General features: G+C 40.8%; 1 protein-coding gene across 5 annotated transcripts in view; it reads left to right on the top strand.

Annotated features, from left to right (window-relative positions):
* The window catches only part of KCNH1 (potassium voltage-gated channel subfamily H member 1), a 455,835-nt gene that overhangs the window by 353,755 nt on the left and 83,987 nt on the right, over positions 1 to 18,093 (top strand). For all 5 annotated transcript variants that reach the window (XM_047419823.1, NM_002238.4, NM_172362.3 and 2 more), the window contains one exon: positions 4,850 to 5,046. In XM_047419823.1, coding sequence (XP_047275779.1) covers positions 4,850 to 5,046 — 197 coding nt within the window. The remainder of the gene's footprint in view (positions 1 to 4,849; positions 5,047 to 18,093) is intronic.

Raw genomic sequence — 18,093 nt, 5'->3', positions numbered from 1 at the left:
GCAGGTAGTAAGTTTAACATTAGAATTATATTTTGTGGAGTACATTATAACACTGTGAGATAGTCCTTAAAAGAGCATATAATAGGAAATAGTGAAGAGAAGCAGCCAGAAATTTCATTTTTTTCTGATCTCCCAGACCTGCCAAGCTCACTCAGAGCCTGTCTTTGAATAAACAGCACCTTCTCTGGAGCGTTCCAGACTTAGTTGTAGGGTTCAGATCAGAATTGCTTCCCTGCCACTCTTCAACCTCAAGAAGGCTATTGATCCTTCCAGGGTCCCAGAGTTCCAGCATCTCTTGAATTCACCCTGGTAATCCCATTTCACCCTACCCACCCACCTTCAGCTTTCTCAAGTGGCTGGCTGTTCTAGCCTTTGCCCTTCATTTAACCAAATTGCCTGCAGGGGCTTAGTTTTCTTCTGTGCTGTGCCCCTCCCTGGCCCTGTGCCACCTCAGCCCTGTGTCCCACTTCCTACCTATGTTTTGTGGATGTTCTTCAGTCCTACATTGGTACCCCACAGGGATGTTTATGTCCACTGCAGAAGTGGAGGTTCAGTAAAGACAGCTCCATATAATTGGGGGGAAGAGGAGGAGGATTAATTATTACTGAGATGTTTGCCTGGAGTTTTAATTAGGCTGCCTTTCCTTACTTCCTTCTTTTTTTTTTCCCAGCTCAGAATGTCCATTTAGAATGTTAGTATTTTAGAGACTTGGAACATTAAGTTTTAACATTCTGCACCCAGAGCCTCAGTGTAATAAATAAATCAATAGGCTGATTGCCTCCAGTAGTTTGATTGCTGAGTGCATTGGGGTACCTTTTGTTCTTGAGTGAATGATTATTTTACACACTGGCAAACAAGAAACAAATGTGGGTGTAGTGCTTGTCCGGGCTTCTGATTTGCAACCCTGACCTGGGAAGTCATTATTTCCAGCATTGTGTGTAACTTACAAGCAGCTTGCCAAATGTTCTATCTCCTTCCCCTTGACAGTTCTCCCAAGTTATGTGTGTCATAAAAACATTTCGCATTTGCCAGAATAGTCCTGAGTTTGTTTTGGATCTGACAGGTCCTCTGATATTACGTTCTTAAATCTCACTAACAGATAATTTATACCAAAACTACTGCCTTGACAGGAAGTAAAGTTATATGATTTTCAATTTGGGTTGAAAATCAACTCAAGTTATGACAATACTGAGACTCTTAGACCCTACAGATTAATCATGATTATCTTACTGTGAAATACTTTTTGTAGTAGGATCTACCCTCCATTTATTTTTTCTGTCAAAACCTGTGATTGGAAAATGTTTCATAATGGGAATGTTGTCATTTCTACAGATGCACTTATTTATTTCATGGTGTATTCCGACCACAATATGGTTGCCCCTTGTTTTATGCAATAGATATGCCCCTGAAGAGTTGCTTATAAACTGAATTTTTATAGATATATGGGTAATTACATGCCCATGCAGTGCTACTATTTTACCTAATAGTTTCTTTTATAATTAGAAAAACGACTCCCAAATTCATTTGAAAAGTATAACACTCATATATTGGGTCTTGTTTAGATGAAGTAATCTTAATACAAATCAGGCAAGATTATCAACTAGCTTCTACTCTCAATAGTTCTGGCTTATACCACATTTCATCCCAATAGGAGACTGCAGGTTTTATACATTCTACATTTTCTCACAGATACTCAAGACACTTCCAGAGGAAAATCTGCCCCTCTTAGAGCCACCCCTTGCTCTCTCTTGTATCATTCTTTCAGGGAAGGAAGTGGGGGATGCCAGCTCAGAGTTGGGATGATTTGTGATGTTCTGCTGGAATATTACGTAACCTGGCAGGTAATTTTTTTTTTTTTTTTTTGAGACAGAGTCTTGCTCTGTAGCCCAGGCTGGAGTGCGGTGGCCAAATTATAGCTCACTGCAGTCTCAAACTCCTGGATTCCTGGGTTCAAGCAATCCTCCCATCTCAGCCTTCTGAGTAGTTGGAACTACAGGTGCATGCCACCATGCCCAGCTATTTTTTATTTTTTGCAGAGGCAAGGTCTCACTTTGTTGCCCAGGCTGGTCTCAAGCTCCATGATTCTGTGTATTCTGGCTATCTATTGCTGTGTAGCAAACCGCCCCTAAATTTAGTGGCTTAAGAAACTTCTTATTGTTTCTTCCATTCTGTGGGCTGTTTAGCTCAGCTGGTTGGTTCTCACTTGCACTTCCCACATGTGGTTGCAGTCAGGCATTGACTGGGGCTATAGTCATCTGAAGGCTGGACTGAGCAGGACAACTAAGATGGCTTCTTGACATGACTGGCAGTCGAGACTGTCAGCTGAGAGCTCAGCTGGGCTGTGGGCCACAGCATATACATGTGACCCCTTGTGTGGCTTGTGCTTCTCACTTGTTGATTGGGTTCCAAGAGGGAGAGTCCCAAGAATGAGTGTTCTAAGTGATCCAGGCAGAGCCTGCAAGGCTTCTTATGACCTTGACTCAAAATCCCAGAACATCGCTTCTTCCACTTTCTATTGGTTGAGGCCAGTCAGTGACTAAGGCCAGCCCAGATTCAAGGGGAGGGAATTAGACTTCACCTCTTGATGTGAGTTGCAGCATGTGTGTACCGTATGGAAAAGAATGGATGGGGCCTATTTTTTAACTACCTACCATAATGTGCTGGAGGAAGGATATTCTCTAGAGGAACAAGATGACACAAATATGAAGGGTGCATGAGCCATTGTGGGCAGTATAGGGAGGTTATAGAATGCTTAATACATATAATATTTACAAATGAATTGGCCAGCCTTGTTGGTTAGAACTGAGTACTAGGGAGTACACAATAAATGAGCCTATTTCCATGGAAGCCAGTTAGCATCCTACAGAGAGAAACATTTCCCTCTACTGACCCCAGCCCTAAATTAGCCACCCATGTTACAGATGATTGAAAAAAGAACTTGGTAAGGGAATCTAAGTAGCACAGTTTTAAAGACATATTTGCCTGGAAGCTACCCCAAGCATGTATCCTATTCACATTGACTCAGTAAAACCATCTTTGTAAATTAGAACCACAAACACATAGAGAATTGTGAAGTAATGTCTAGTATAAATGTTTTTCAGCTCACATTCTGGAGGTTCTTAGGGAAGGCTGTGCCCACAGATATCTTACATACTTAGAATGGATACTTTTTGATGTTTGAGGTAAAGTCAAGTTCTATCCATGTACTTGGAAGTATAATTACCTCCTTAGCTTTAATCAGGAAAACAGCTGGCCTATTAAACACACTGAGCTACAGGTCCTTTGATTTCAGCTGTGGAGCTTGGCCTATCTGGATGTACAGGCTGACAACTCCCTTGAATACATTACTTTTCACCCTTTGTAGCATTTTTTCCTTCCTCTTGCATACTCCTCGTTGGCTCCCTGGGGATTCAAATTTGTGTTTATCGTGCTGAAAATTTAGAGGCAAGATAAACAACATTTTAAGCTATTTATAACCAGAGGCTATGCCAGAAATGAATTAGGCTTTGCATTTGACATATGTTAAAATGTTGCTTGCTGGCAAAGGTAGGAAGAATATCCCTAGGTGTGAAAAGCAGATGGTTAGAGACGATTTGATAAAGCTTTGACCCAGAATATGGCTATATGGGATTAGTACTTTTCTTAATTTGGGCTTCTATAACAAAATACCATAGTCTGGGTAACTTATAAACAACAGAAATTTATTTCTCTCAGTTCTGGAAGCTGGAAGTCTGAGACCAGGGGACAGCATTGTCAGGTTCTGGTGAGGGCCCCCTTCTGGTTTGCAGACTGCCTACTTCTCATTGTATCCTCACGTGATAGAAAGAGCACAGGAGAGCTCTTAGGAGTCCCTTTTATAAGGACATTAATCCCATTTATGAGAGGCTCCACCCCCATGACTTAATTACCTCCCAAAGGCTTCACTTCCTGACATCATTGCACTAAGGGTTAGGATTTTAATATATGAATTATGGGGGAGGGGCACAAACATTCAGTCCATAGCATTATTCTATTGACTTATTAAATGTATTCTTGTGGAATGCTAGGGATAGAGAGGATCCTGGAGATGCCATTTATATAGAGCCTATATTTTTATACCACCAGGAGGACATTTAGCAAGGGTAAGGAACATACTCTGGAAGGAGGTATGGGAGAGAGGATGAGAAAGAGGCACCATACAAACATAAACCTTAGGGTGGTGGACATGCTATGGTAAGGAGAGAACTCTGCACTTGTCTGACTTCTTCCATGTGGATCATCCCAGAGAAAGGAAACCTCTCTTGCTCATTAGATTTCTGATGAAGAGTCCACGTGCTCCCTTAAATATTCACCTCTCAGTCACGCTAATATAGACCCACCACAGTCTACCTCCATTCTTTCCTTCTGCCTATAAATATTGGTTGAGCTCCCACCATGTGCAGGCACTGTGTTATGTGGATGAATAAGACACATGAGCTATCAAGTTGAGATACATGCAATAAACCAGTAAATAAGTAATATAATGAAGGATTATTATCAGTGTTATAGGGGAAAAAGGGGGTGTGATAAAGAATAATGGGTGTGTGTGTCCTATTTTGGATAGCATGATCAAGATAACCCTTTGAGGAGGTGACATAAATGATCTCAAAGTGATTAAACTTTGGCATGTGTTAACTGCTACTTTAACATTTCTTAAACTGCATGTTGTTAAGGATGTTATTAAGGTTCACGTTAAAATAGTGTTTGCCTTCTCTGAGCCCAATCTGCAGAATGCTGAAAGGACAGCAATTCTGGGGAATAGAGGGAAGCCAGCTGGATGGGCAGACCTCTCCTGGCCAACACTTTCCTCATGACAACCTTCTCTCCTTAGGAAAAGGAGACGTGTTTGGAGATGTGTTCTGGAAGGAAGCCACCCTTGCCCAGTCCTGTGCCAATGTTAGGGCCTTGACCTACTGTGATCTGCATGTGATCAAGCGGGATGCCCTGCAGAAAGTGCTGGAATTCTACACGGCCTTCTCCCATTCCTTCTCCCGGAACCTGATTCTGACGTACAACTTGAGGAAGAGGGTGAGCTAAAAGTTTCAGTTATTTTCCACAAAGAACAGTCTCTGTACACTTTGGATAATCACTGTGACCAGAAAAGTCCCTTTGCTGTTTATTTAAGTAGAGTAATTGGTTCTAAAGAGGATCTGTTTGTTGTTTGCTCTGCGGGGCTTTTGCTATAAAATGGAGGAGAGAGGGGATGTTGCTAGATTAGAAGATGGATCCGTTTTGGTGCAGAAGGGATTTATTTATGTGCTTGGAGGGGGCAGGGAGGTGGCTTTTTTTTCCCCCATCAATATCTAGACCTGCTAGCATTTTGAAAAGATGAGTGAAATGTGAGGTTGCTAGTCAGCAACATGGCTCTGTGGGGCCATTTAATTAATGTAAACTGAATTCTCTGTGGTGACTGGGATTTGCTGAGTAGTATGAAGCCATTAGCCTGCCAGCTAGTAATGGTAATTTTTTAACAGATATGAAAATGATTTAGTTGGGTCCAGAGAATAAGAGAGACATGGAATTTGTTTGTCTAGAGAATATTTTGCATTCAACTCCCAACTAAACTGGTTGAGAAATGATTGGTGGTTTAAGAACCAGAAGATCTTTGACCTGAAATTGTTTCTTTCACTCTCAAATCATCAGAACTCCTCCATCTATCTCTGTGAGGATTAAAGTATTGGTCTTGTACTCTTGAGGTTTTCATGACGGATTTTCTTGCACTTCATCTCTCTGACTCTTTTGGTTAAAACAATAACAAGATAGCTCTGCACCTGGAGAAATCATATGGAAAGGTTGTCATAGGAATCTTTCCTAAAATGACCTCATAATCTTTCTCCCAACCTGCTCACTGTCTCACGGTTCCTATTTACATTGTCTGATTTGTCCTGGGGTTCCAAGTTAGAAACCCTGGCATCAACGTTGATGCTGCTTCCCCCTCTCTGAGGCCTTGTGTTACTCAACAGATCCTGTTGGTTCTGCCTAAGCGCTCAACTCTAAGTCAGTACTTTGCCTTCATCCTCAAGGCCCCCACAGAATTCTCAGGACACAAAGCTCTTCATTAAAAACCTTCCTCATGCCCTAGCTGGATCATGCAATGGGCTCCAAACTCACCTTCCTGCCTCGTGTCTGCCCTCAGTGGAGTGCTTCCTTCTTATGGCTGCTTGACTAACCTTAAAAATCTGATCTGTCAGTCTCCCACCTGACTAAGGGATAATATCTGCACATTTCAGCATGGTGTATGTGATTGTCCACATCTGGCCCAAACTTAACCCCTGAGCCCCGAACTCAACCACTTATCCCCATGCCCACCTTTCCCACCCTGAACTGCCACCATGAGAATTCCACACAGTACTCCAAGCACACCACATCCCTTCAGAGTGCCGTGTCTCTGCCTGCTGCTTTCTCAACCTGGAATTCTTTTCTGTGTGTGACAAACCCCTGTTAGCCCTAAAAACTGCTGAAATGTTTACTTTTTCATTCATCAAACCCAGTATTGTGCCAACTGAACTAGACTAGACATATAAAACCCAATGATACTCAGTTCCCTATCTCTGGGAACCTAAAGTCTAATGGAAAAGATTAACACAAGAAAGATAAATGCGTAGAAGTGCTAAGTACAGTGATTGTGATTTGAACAAGGTATTATGGGAGCATAAAGGAGGGGGACAGCTAAAGGGAGTCAAGGATTAATTGTCAGGGGTGATACCTAGCTGAATCCAAAGAATGAGTTTGCCTAACAGAAGGGGCCAATGATCTACTGGGAGGGGCAGTTTGAGCAAAGCCTGGAGAAAGGAAACAACCCTTTGTCTTCTAAGTCCTTTGTACAAGGTTCCAATGCCTGTCACGGGGCTACCCCAGCAATATTCCTCCACCTGTTTTAAATCCCTTGGACTATCTTGTGGGTCCCTGCACAGAGACCTGAGAAGGCAAGGGCTTGGTGCCTTAGTATCCTCAGTGCATAAACAAGTGTGGGGTGCCTAGAATTAATAAATATTTGAGGATGGCAAGGAGAAAGAGATGGGCCTCAACTCTGGGCCTCAACTTCCACATAATAAAATGCAAGATTGTGGCAAGATGGTTTTTATAGTTCTGTGGTTTGAAACCTGGCCATTTAAATTCTAGTGGAGGGTGGGCAGTGGTGGAGAAATGTGCATCCAATGTTCTTCCTGGTTGATCTGTTGGTTGGGAACATGGGATGCTTGCTGGTGATACATTTAGCCAAGTGGATTCTCTTATAAGCTATTTTTTGATGTATTCCTTCTTTCTATGAAAGCAAGTTGATTATAATCAGCTTTCAGTGTTGCTGATAATATAGGTTGAAAAAATATGCAGTTTGGGTTATTTGGAGGAGTAATCTTCTTGGAATAATTGTGGCTCAAGTAAATCTGTCTTTAAAAAAAAACAAGAATGACAACAAAAACAATGACACCTCAGTGGTCAGATTTTTTCTGTAAGTAGAGTGATAGCTCTGCAGAAGAGAAGACGCAGGGGCTACATTTTTGAAGGGCTGTTGTGGAGGATTTTTTATAGCCACAGGGTACAGAGGAAGAACCAAAATTATAGACAGATTTTGGCACAGTATAAAAAGTCTTTTGAAAAAAATCAGAGCTCCCCAAAGAATGAAATAGGCTGCTTTGAGTGTATCAAATTTGTTATTATGAGGGTACTTAGGCATCTCCTAGGTACCCATATTCAGAAACATTGTGGAAGGGACTTAGGCGACTGTTGGAGAGTCAAACTAGCTGACCTTCAAATTTTCTTCTAACTCTAAGTGACTATATATGAGTCTGGTATGGATCCAGAGGAAGTTTAGTGAAAGCCTTTGTGTAAAGAGGTAGCCATTCTTTTTTGGAAAAAAAAAAAAAGAGGCTTGTCATTTTATTATTGCCATTGTAGTCTCTCATTGTGTCCTTCTGAGAATTAATTCGTAGTTACGTAGGGCATGGAAGACAAGAACATTACATGCATGAATTATTCTCCTAGCTATTTTTTTTTCCTGGTAAAGTAAAGTGTATTGTTGTAGCTGTTTCTATCTTGGCAAAATTAAGTGTTTTATTTGCTAAGATTCTTGACAACACAGTGCCTTTGACATCTATCTGGGGAGTTTCTTGATCTTGTTGATCTTCTCCAATGTGCAGCAAAGACTCTGAGCTAGAAGATGACTTGGTAACCGTTCAATCTCTTCTCTACTTCCCTAACACCCTCATTTCACATTTTATAGAAAGGTCACAGAGCTGGGTTGGGATGAAAGAATTGGAGCCAGAAGTGACACCTTGGCCAAAGTCTTCCTGATCACAGTTTCCTGTTCTACTCTAGCCTCTGTATTCTAAGCCACATCCCTTTTTCCCTAAATCCAAGGGTATGAACATCACCTAGCTCTCAGCTCTGCTCTTGGAACCCAACTCAGGAAGAAACTGTTGCCTTCCTCCATTTCCTCCAAAGCCACATGAGGGCACAGACAAGGATGAAAGAGGCAGAACCTGGAGGCAAATCCAGCATTTTGGCCTTTAGTTTTTCTTGCTTGTGAGGTCTGAGCCAGGTGAGACTTTGGTCTGGGTCCTGCTTCTGCCACTTATTGCTTCTATAATTCTGGAGGAGCTATAAAAGCTTCCTTTTCTGTAAAATGCGGATGATGAAAATTTCTAACTTGTAGGATAGTTGCAAGCATTAAATAAGATAATATTTGCAAAGCTCACATGAAGCCTACTACTACATAGCGAGTGCTCAATTCATTTGTATGTTATTGTTATTTTGTTCTGTCCACGTGATTGATACCCTATTCTTTATTATCCTGTGCCTTTTGTAAAGTAAAAAGAAGGCAGTTCCTCTGCCTTTGTTCATGCAGGGTTATTGCCCTGCGCAATGTTCTGTGGGGTAGGTGTTATCCGCAGGTTCTCTGCACCTCTTGCAGCAAAGGAGGGATCAGTCGCTCTGGGAAGTGGAATCCATTGCTGGCCTTGCTGCCTCTTCAGCTCCTGACAGTGAAGAGGTCAGCATTTGCCCACTGTTTTGGCCAGTTCCATTCTTGGAGGGAAAAATCAGGCTATTTTGAGATCTTAGGTCAGTTAACAGGAAGTCTAGAGGGAGGCACAAAAGAAAAGCACAGCGCTATTGTTTCTTCTGAGGGAGGTGGCTTGTGGCTATTCATGAAAAGAAGGGGAAGTAGAGCCTTCCTCATCAAACCCTTGGCTCTCTAGGGTGCAAGGTCTATGCGCTTTTTCCTCAAAGCCTAGAATCATCTTGTGTCTGTAATCAGAGCTTTGCAGACTATAAATAGTAAATTATTACCAACTCCAGATATTGTACAAGCTACGTCACAGTATCAGTACGTGTATGTCAGCTTATTACATCTTCGGAACAGCCTCATGACATTACTGTATCATTCCCATTTCTCAATGGAATAAACTAGGACCCTGTGAGGAAGAAAACCCCTTTTCCAAGGTTGCCCGGTTAATAAGTGGCAGATTCCAAACCTGGCACGTGCTCTTCTGGCTAAGGAGTGTCACATTCTGTGGTAGCCTCAGTGAAGTGTGGCTCTCAGCTGTTCCCATATTGGCATTCTTTGGCTTCTGCATTCTTCTAGTCTGTTAACTTTTCAGGAGTAGCTTGGGTTGTCTCCTAAGTATCTTTCTCCAGTGGCCTTTGCCACCGCCAATACACTCAGAAACATGTACGGTAAAACCACAGTAATACCCCAGGTTGGGAGATGTGACAAATTTCCCCCTCGTAGTGACAGGCACACAGCAAGTAGCTGGATGTGATGGGTGTGGGAGGCATGACACATTTCGCTTTCGTTAGGCAGCGGGTTAACCCGGCCATGCTATTAGTAACTCACTAGAAAGGCCAATGCTTTGAGTCTAAGGACTATGTTTGAATACTGATTTGACTGCTGACCAGCTATGTGCCTTTGGGCAAATTACTTAACCATTCAGAGCCTCAGTTTCCTTGTTTGTGAAAAGGGGCTGATACAAGTCCTTCCTAATTAGGTTTTTGGCATTTTGTTTATTTATTTTAAGTTCTGGGATACATGTGCAGAACGTACAGGTTTGTTACATAGGTATACATGTGCCATTGTGGTTTGCTGCACCTATCAACCCATCATCTAGGTTTTAAGTCCCATGTGCATTAGGTTTTTGTCCAAATGCTCTCTCTCCCCTTGACCCCCCCACACCCCAAACAGGCCCCAGTGTGTGATGTTCCCCCTCCCTGTGTCCATGTGTTCTCATTGTTCAATTCCCACTTATGAATGAGAACATGTGGTGTTTGGTTTTCTGTTCCTGTGTTAGTTTGCTGAGGATGATGGTTTCCAGCTTCATCCATGTCTCTGCAAAGGACATGAACTCATTCTTTTTTATGGCTGCCCTAATTGGGTTTATTGAGAAGTTTACATACGGTAAAACAAACAAAAAGAAAAAGTGACACATTACCTGCAGGAACCACTCAATACATATTTTTCCCTTTCTCCTCCCCACTGCCCATCCCCTACTTCCACCTCCAGTCTTAGAGGTTCTGAATTCACACTTTGTTGCCCTTGGTTAATAACCAGACATTTCTTTAGTCGATGTTTCACTTGGGCTCTACTTTCCTTTCAACCTGAGATAAGGTTTCACTCCCCAGGTCCTAGGGAATTACGTTCTCCTGCTGATCATTAGGACAGTAGAAGCAATGTACCACAATTAAATGATGTACTGCAGACAAGCAATTAGGTAATTAACAGCAGTCAGTGCATGGGATAATTGGCACGTAGGTAATTGGGAGGGCGGTTCTCATTCTGTGTGTAGGGCTTTATTTTTAAAGCCAATATTGTTGTGTATAGAGTTTGTTTTGTGCAGTGTTTGTTTATATTAATTTGTTCCAGGATGAATTTTTTTTGTTTGATTAAAGCCCCAACTTAGTGAGTTTGGGAGGGAGCTGGGACTATAGTTACTGATGTTCTCAAAGCTGAGCCCTCCTAATGCCTGTTTTCTAAAACTGAGGTTGCCATAGTGAACTGTCTTGAATACCATATGTACATTTCTAGCCCACTTTAACCAAAGAGCATTTTATTCTGGAGAAGAGAAGATGAAAGCATTGAATGCTTGGAGAAAGCTCTGCTCATAAGTGGCATTGGAAAGCTTTTAAATTTTCTCCCTGAATAAATTATTGTGGAAGGTTGATAAGATGGAAAGATAAACCATAAAGCTAGGTACTTAAAAATGTCATCCACTTCCCCCCTGAGTCATCATAGCCTAAGTTTTAAAAATGATATCTGCATAGCCCATATTTTCCTTGTCATCCCTCCTATGTGGGCTTCTGTGAAATTAAAATCATCTATTAGTCTGTCAAGCCAAAAAGATAATAAAATCATGGTGTTGGAATTAGGAGTCGGGGGAGGGGGAGAGATGATGTGAGTGACATGACCATAATTCTTTTAGAACAACAAACTATAAATCAAAATCAAGTTCTGTTTTCCTCAAGAGGATCAGTGAGTGATGTTAGGGACCTGTGCAGTCTTTCATGGGTCCTCAGGTGTTCCCCAGTACCCCGAGAACATTTAGCAGAACCCCATGATGATGCTGGAGGTGGAAGATAATAAAAGTGCTCCATGCTTCATTATGTATGAATTAGCTTAAATTGTAGTCAGGCTATGTCTGGCTATTTTTAAGGAAGTAATAAAGTTCTGGAATGAACACGGGCTTTAAAGCTAGATCTTCACATCCAGGCTCTGCCATTTGCTAGCTGGGGCAGGGGGTCAGGATGGGTGGGCATTGAACAAGTATACCTTGTGGTCTTCCGTGGATCTACATCGCCTACCCCAAATGGTAGTGATGGGAAAGAGTGAGAAAGTGCCAGGCATGTTGCCTCACGTGTGGTAAGTATGTAGCTGTGTTATTTCTCTTCCATTATTCATAGCAATGGGGGCAGCAGAGCAAAGAAGAATAGGAGCCATAATAGTTTGGCTGGTAGAATAATCATATGGAGGTACTAGACTGGTGGTTTAAAATGTGGATCCTGCAGTCAGAGTATTTGAGTTCAAATCCTGGCCCTACTTAGTGACTTCAGGCCAGTTACCTAACCTCTCTAGGCCCTATTTTATTCAGGTATGAAATAGAGGCCTTAGAAGCATGCTTTGACATGGCAAATTTTCAATGTTTATATGGCTATAATTATGATAAAGAAGACGATGATAATGATAAGGATGATGACAATAAAATCAATCAAATGTATTAGTTAGCTTTTCTGGGACTTAGATCCCATCAGGTGCTAAAAGTTTTTAAAAAGAAGTGATGGACTGAATTTTAACATCTAGAAATCTCCTAAACAGAAAATTCTAAAATTTGAGCCTGGGCCCCTCAAGTAGCCCTAGAGATCCAGGTGGTTCATCAGTGAGGTTTGGTGAAGAATGGCTCTGTTGGATTCAAAATGGATCTGATTCCTCCTATAACAGAATGAATGGAGGGAATGGTAGAGTCAGATGTGGAAGAGAGGAAGGAGGAGGAAAGTTGTAACTTATCTTTTAATAGTCATCAAGTTACTTGATGTACTGTTACATACAGTGTTTACCACAAATTAGAAAAGATCTGGCCTAGCTTAGAAGAGTATAAGGCTAGTGCAGTCTTTTGGAGGAGAGTAGCATCCTTAATAATATTTTCTTAGGTGTATGTAGTTGAGGCATAATAAGGGTAGTGCTAATGGATCCTAGATCAGAAGTTCATCCTCAAGCAAGCAAGTTGGCTTCTTGATGTCTTAGATGTTTAACCCAAGATTTCTCATTCATGTGCTCCCTAAAATTTTGAATGATATCTGTAAGTATTATCTATTATGAAATACCTGTAAAAATCCACTAGAGCTAGTGTTTTACAGAGCACATTTAGGAAGCAGGGTCTAGATGCTCTTTAGTATCTCTTCCAGCTCAAATGATCACTGACTTGTGGAGCGAACAGGTCTTGCCTCTGAAACATCAAGAAGCCAAAATATACTCTAGCACAGGGAATCACTATCACCTGGTCCTCAGTAAAATCCCAAACAGAGATTACTGGCAGGGTCTCGCTAATTTCTAAACATCTTCCTCAACTCAGCTCCCCTCCCACCTCTTACAAATGCCCAGTGGCCCACTCATTTTCCAGTGAGCAGCCAGTCATGTTTTCAAAGTGCATTTCACATGTGCTAATACTAGAAGGCTGTCAAAGGATGTTTTCTAACTAGCTTCAAAGTCCCTCCTTGCAAGTTACTTTCTCATTCTTTCTTTGGCCTAGCCAAATTTTACATTTCGAACCCATCTGCCAAGTTTTTTGGACTTCCTTTTTCCTATTTATTGTTCCTTCTACTCTTAAAAATGTGCTCTGTGGTTTTGAGCATGTCCTTACAAATTTTGACAGTAAGTCATGGAGGTTTTCATTCTAGCCTTTGCTTTTGGTAAGCAGAGTCAGGATTTGAACCCAGGCTGCCTCTCCTCTGATAACAATAACTACTTTATAAGATGTTAGATTAATAAAAAGAAATGTTAGTTCTCCCCTATTTCCAAGGGGACTTTGAATGCCTGCATATGAGCTCACATAAAGAATCTATTCCAGACCAAATGTCCGTGCAGACCATATCTGGTATAATGTATGTCAGAGGTCCACGCGGTTTTGGTTTATCTCTCTGCAAACTTTGTTGTTGGCAATTTACTTTTTACTAATGTCACTTAATGGTCTTTACCCTGCCTGTGCTTAACTTAGATTTCTAGATTGAAATTTTGAATTCATAATGGGACCCTGACTCCATATATCTTCTCTTTAATTTCTCTAGTCTAGATGAAGCCCCTTGTCTTTTAATCCAATTAGCAACAATCACCTCTTTGTAGCTCTCATTATACTTCCAGTTAACTCCCCACCCCCCCTCAATCTTGTTGCCCAGGCTGGAGTGCAATGGTATGATCTTGGCTTACCGCAACCTCTGCCTCCTGGTTTCAAGTTATTCTCCCACCTCAGCCTTCTGAGTAGCTGGAATTACAGGCATGTGCCACTATGCCCAGCTAATTTTGTATTTTTAGTAGAGACGGGGTTTCTCCATGTTGGCCAGGCCGGTCTCAAACTCCTGACCTCAGGTGATCCGCCTGCCTCAGCCTCCCAAAGTGCTGGGATTACAGGCGGGAACTACCCTACCTGGCCACACTTCTCTGACTTGATCAGCTTTTTTAGAGCTTGGTACAAAGTAAATGTTCAATAATTGAATGAGTCAATCAGTGAAACAACCAACCAACCAACAAAAATATACAAATCTACCAACCAATATTGGGCATGTCCCTCCATCTTATTACTGCTATACATTCTTTTTTTCTTCTTCTTTTTTGAGACAGAGTCTCCCTCTGTTGCCCAGGCTGGGGTGCAGTGGCGCGATCTCGGCTCCCTGCAACCTCCACCTCCCGGGTTCAAGCAATTCTCCTGCCTCAGCCTCCCGACTAGCTGGGATTACAGGTGCCTGCCACCACGCCCGGCTAATTTTTTGTATTTTTATTGGAGACAGGGTTTCACCATCTCGGCCAGGCTGGTCTCAAACTCCTGACCTCAAGTGATCTGCCTGCTTCGGCCTCCCAAAGTCCTGGGATTACAGGCATGAGCCACCACACCTGGCCTATTGGTGTATATTCTTAAAGCCTTGGCTAAAAGATGGTATCGGCAGAGACATCTTTCCTTCTTTGTCCCTCTGAAGCTTTTCCTATATATTTCATAGCCCCTTTTCCCTTCTTTTTCTCTCCCCCAGGCCCTGATTGTAGAGGTCTCTCAGCCTCTGCAGATACCCCTGGTGCCAGCATAAAATATAATAACCATCCCAATTTATTGTCTCATCTGCCAAGTATGAGTTAACGCATTTACATGTATCTCACTTAGGTGCTGAGGCCAAGATAGGTTAAATAATTTGCTTCTGATCCATTAAGCTAATTGGAGTTAGAATTGTAGCTCAAGCCTGGCAATCACCAAGCCCATACTCTTTTTGTGGTTGTTTGTTTTATTAAATTTTAGATTCTGGGGGTATGTGTGCAGGTTTGTTACATGGGTATATTACATGATGCTGAGGTTTGGGTTTCTAGTGATCCCACTACCCAAGTAGTGAACATACTACCCAGTAGTAGATAGTTTTTCAACCCTTCCACCCGCCACCATTACCCCCTGCCCAGTTTTGGACCCTTCTGTACCCCCACCCCCAGTTTTGGAATCCCAAGTGTTTATTGTTCCCATCTTTGTGTCCATGTGTACTCAATGTTGAGCTACTACTTGTAAGTGAGAACATGTGGTACATAGTTTTCTGTTTGTGCATTAGTTCACTTAGGATAATGGCCTTCAGCTGCATTTATGTTGCTGCAAAGGACATGATTTTGTTCTTTTTAATGGCTCTGTAGTATTCCATAGTGTATATGTACCATAGTTTATCCAGTCTACTGTTGATGGGCACCTGGGTTGATTCCATGTCTTTGCTATTGTGAATAGTGCTGTGATAAACATATGAGTGCAGGTGTCTTTTTTGGTAGAACAATTTATTTTCCTTTGGGTTTATAACCAGTAATGGGATTTCTAGGTCGAATGGTAATTCTATTTTTAGCTATTTGAGAATCTCCAAGCTGTTTTCCACAGGGGCTAAACTAATTGGCATTCCCACCAACAGTATGTAAGCATTCCCTTTTCTTCCCAACCTTACCATCTGTTATTTTGTGACTTTTTAACAATAACCATACTGACTGGTGTGAGATGGTATTTCTTTGTGGTTTTGGTTTGCATTTCTTTGATGATAGTGATGTTGAACATTTTTTCATGTTTCTTGGCCATTAGGATGTCTTCCTTTGAGAAGCATCTGTTCATGTCGTTTGCCCACTTTTTAATGAAGTTATTTGGTTTTTGCTTGTTGATTTAAGTTCCTCATAGATTCTGGATATTAGTTCTTTATCAGATGCATGGTTTGTAAATATTTTCTCCCATCCAGTAGATTGTCTGTTTACTCTGTTCATAGTTTCTTTTGCTGTGCAGAAGCTCTTTCATTTAATTAGACCCCAATTGTCAATTTTAATTTTTGTTGCATTTGCTTTTGAGGACTTAGCATAAATTATTTGCCTAGGTCAATATCTAGGAGGGTGTTTTCTAGGTTTTCTTCTAGGATTTTTATAGTTTGAGGTATTACATTTAAGTCTTTAATTCATCTTGTGTTAATTTCTGTATATGGTGAGAGGTAGGGGTCCAGTTTCATTCTTCTGCATATAGTTAGCCAATTTTCTCGTATCATTTATTGAATAGGGTATTCTTTCCCTATTGTTTATTTTTGTTGGCTTTGTCAAAGACCAGTTAGTTTTAGGTGTGTGGCTTCATTTCAAACTTTCTATTCTGTTCCATTGGTGTATTCATCTGTTTTTGTACCAGTACCATGCTGTTTTTGTTACTGTAACCTCGTAATGTACTTTGAAGTTGGATAATGTGATTGCCTCCAGCTTTACTCTTTTTGTGTAGGATTGCCTTGGTTATTTGCGCTGTTTTTTGGTTCCATATGAATTTTAGAATAGTTTTTTTCTAATTCTGTGAAAAAAATGACATTGGTAACTTGATAGGAATAGTGTTGAATCTGTACATTGCTTTGGGAAGTATGCACATTTTAATGATGCTGATTCTTCCAATTCATAAGTATGGAATGCTTTTCTGTTTGTTTGTGTTGTCTATGATTTATTTAAATAGTGCTTAATAGTTCTTCCAGGAGAGGTCTTTTACTTGCTTGGTTAGATGTATTCCTAGGTATTTTATTTTTGTGTGTGTGGCTACTGCAAATGAAATTGCATTCTTGATTTGGCTCTCAGTTTGCATATTATTGGTGTATAGAAATGCTACTGATTTTTGTATGTTGATTTTGTATCCTGAGACTTTCCTGAAGTCATCAAATTTAGGAGACTTTTGGTCTTTAGGGTTTTTTAGATATAGAATAATATCATCAGCAAAGAGATGGTTTGACTTCTTCCTTTCCTGTTTGGATGCCCTTTATTTCTTTCTCTTGTCTGATTACTCTGATTAGAACTTCCATTACTATGTTGAATAGGAGTGATGAGAGTGAACATCTTTGTTTTGTTCTAGTTCTTAGGGCGAATGTTTCTGCCTTTTGTCCATTCAGTATGATGTTGGCTGTGGATCTGTCATAGATGGCTTTTATTATTTTGAGATGTGTTCCTTCAATTCCCAGTTTTTTGAGGGTTTTCATTATAAAGAGATGTTGGATTGTATTGACTACTTTTTCTGCATCTATTGAGATGATTACATGGTTTTTATTTTTCATTCTGTTTATATGGTGAATTACATTTTTTGATTTGCACATGTTGAACCATCCTTGCATCCCAGGAATAAAGCCCACTTGCTCACAGTGAATTAACTTTTTGATGTGCTGCTGGATTTAGTTTCCTAGTATTTTGCTGAAGATTTTTGCATCTATGTTCATCAGAGATATTGATCTGTAGTTTTCTTTTTTTGTTGTGTCTTTGCCAGATTTTGGTATCATGATGATGCTGATTTAGTAGAATGAGTTAAGGAGGAGTCCCTCCTCCTTGATTTTTAAAAATAGTTTCAGTAGGATTGGAACCAGCTTTTCTTTGTATATCTGGTCGAATTTGGCTGTGAATCCATCTGGTCCAGGGCTTTTGTTGGTTGGCAGGTTTTTTATTACTGGTTCAATTCCATTACTCACTATTGTTTTTTTCAGGATTTCTTTTTCTTCCTGATTCAATCCTGAGAGGTTATGTGTTTCCAGAGATTTATCAATTTCTTCTAGATTTTCTAGTTTGTCTACATAGAGATGTTCATAATAGTCTCTGAGGATCTTTTATATTTCTGTGGGATTGGTTGTGATATTGTCTTTGTCATTTCTGGTTGTGCTTATTTGGAGCTTCTCTCTCCTTTGTTCATCTAGCTAGTGGTCTATCGAACTTGTTTATCCTTTTCGAAGAACCAACCTTCTGTTTTGTTGATCCTCCCTATGGTTTTTGGTCTCAGTTTCATTTAGTTCTGCCCTGATTTTTGCTATTTCTTTTCTTCTGCTAGCTTTGGGTTTAGCTTGTTCTTGTTTTCTAGTTCCTTTAGCTCTGATCTT

The sequence above is a fragment of the Homo sapiens genome, chromosome 1 (assembly GCF_000001405.40).
Source record: "Homo sapiens chromosome 1, GRCh38.p14 Primary Assembly".
Classification (NCBI taxonomy): domain Eukaryota; kingdom Metazoa; phylum Chordata; class Mammalia; order Primates; family Hominidae; genus Homo; species Homo sapiens.
This window is presented reverse-complemented; position numbering and strand designations above follow the sequence as displayed.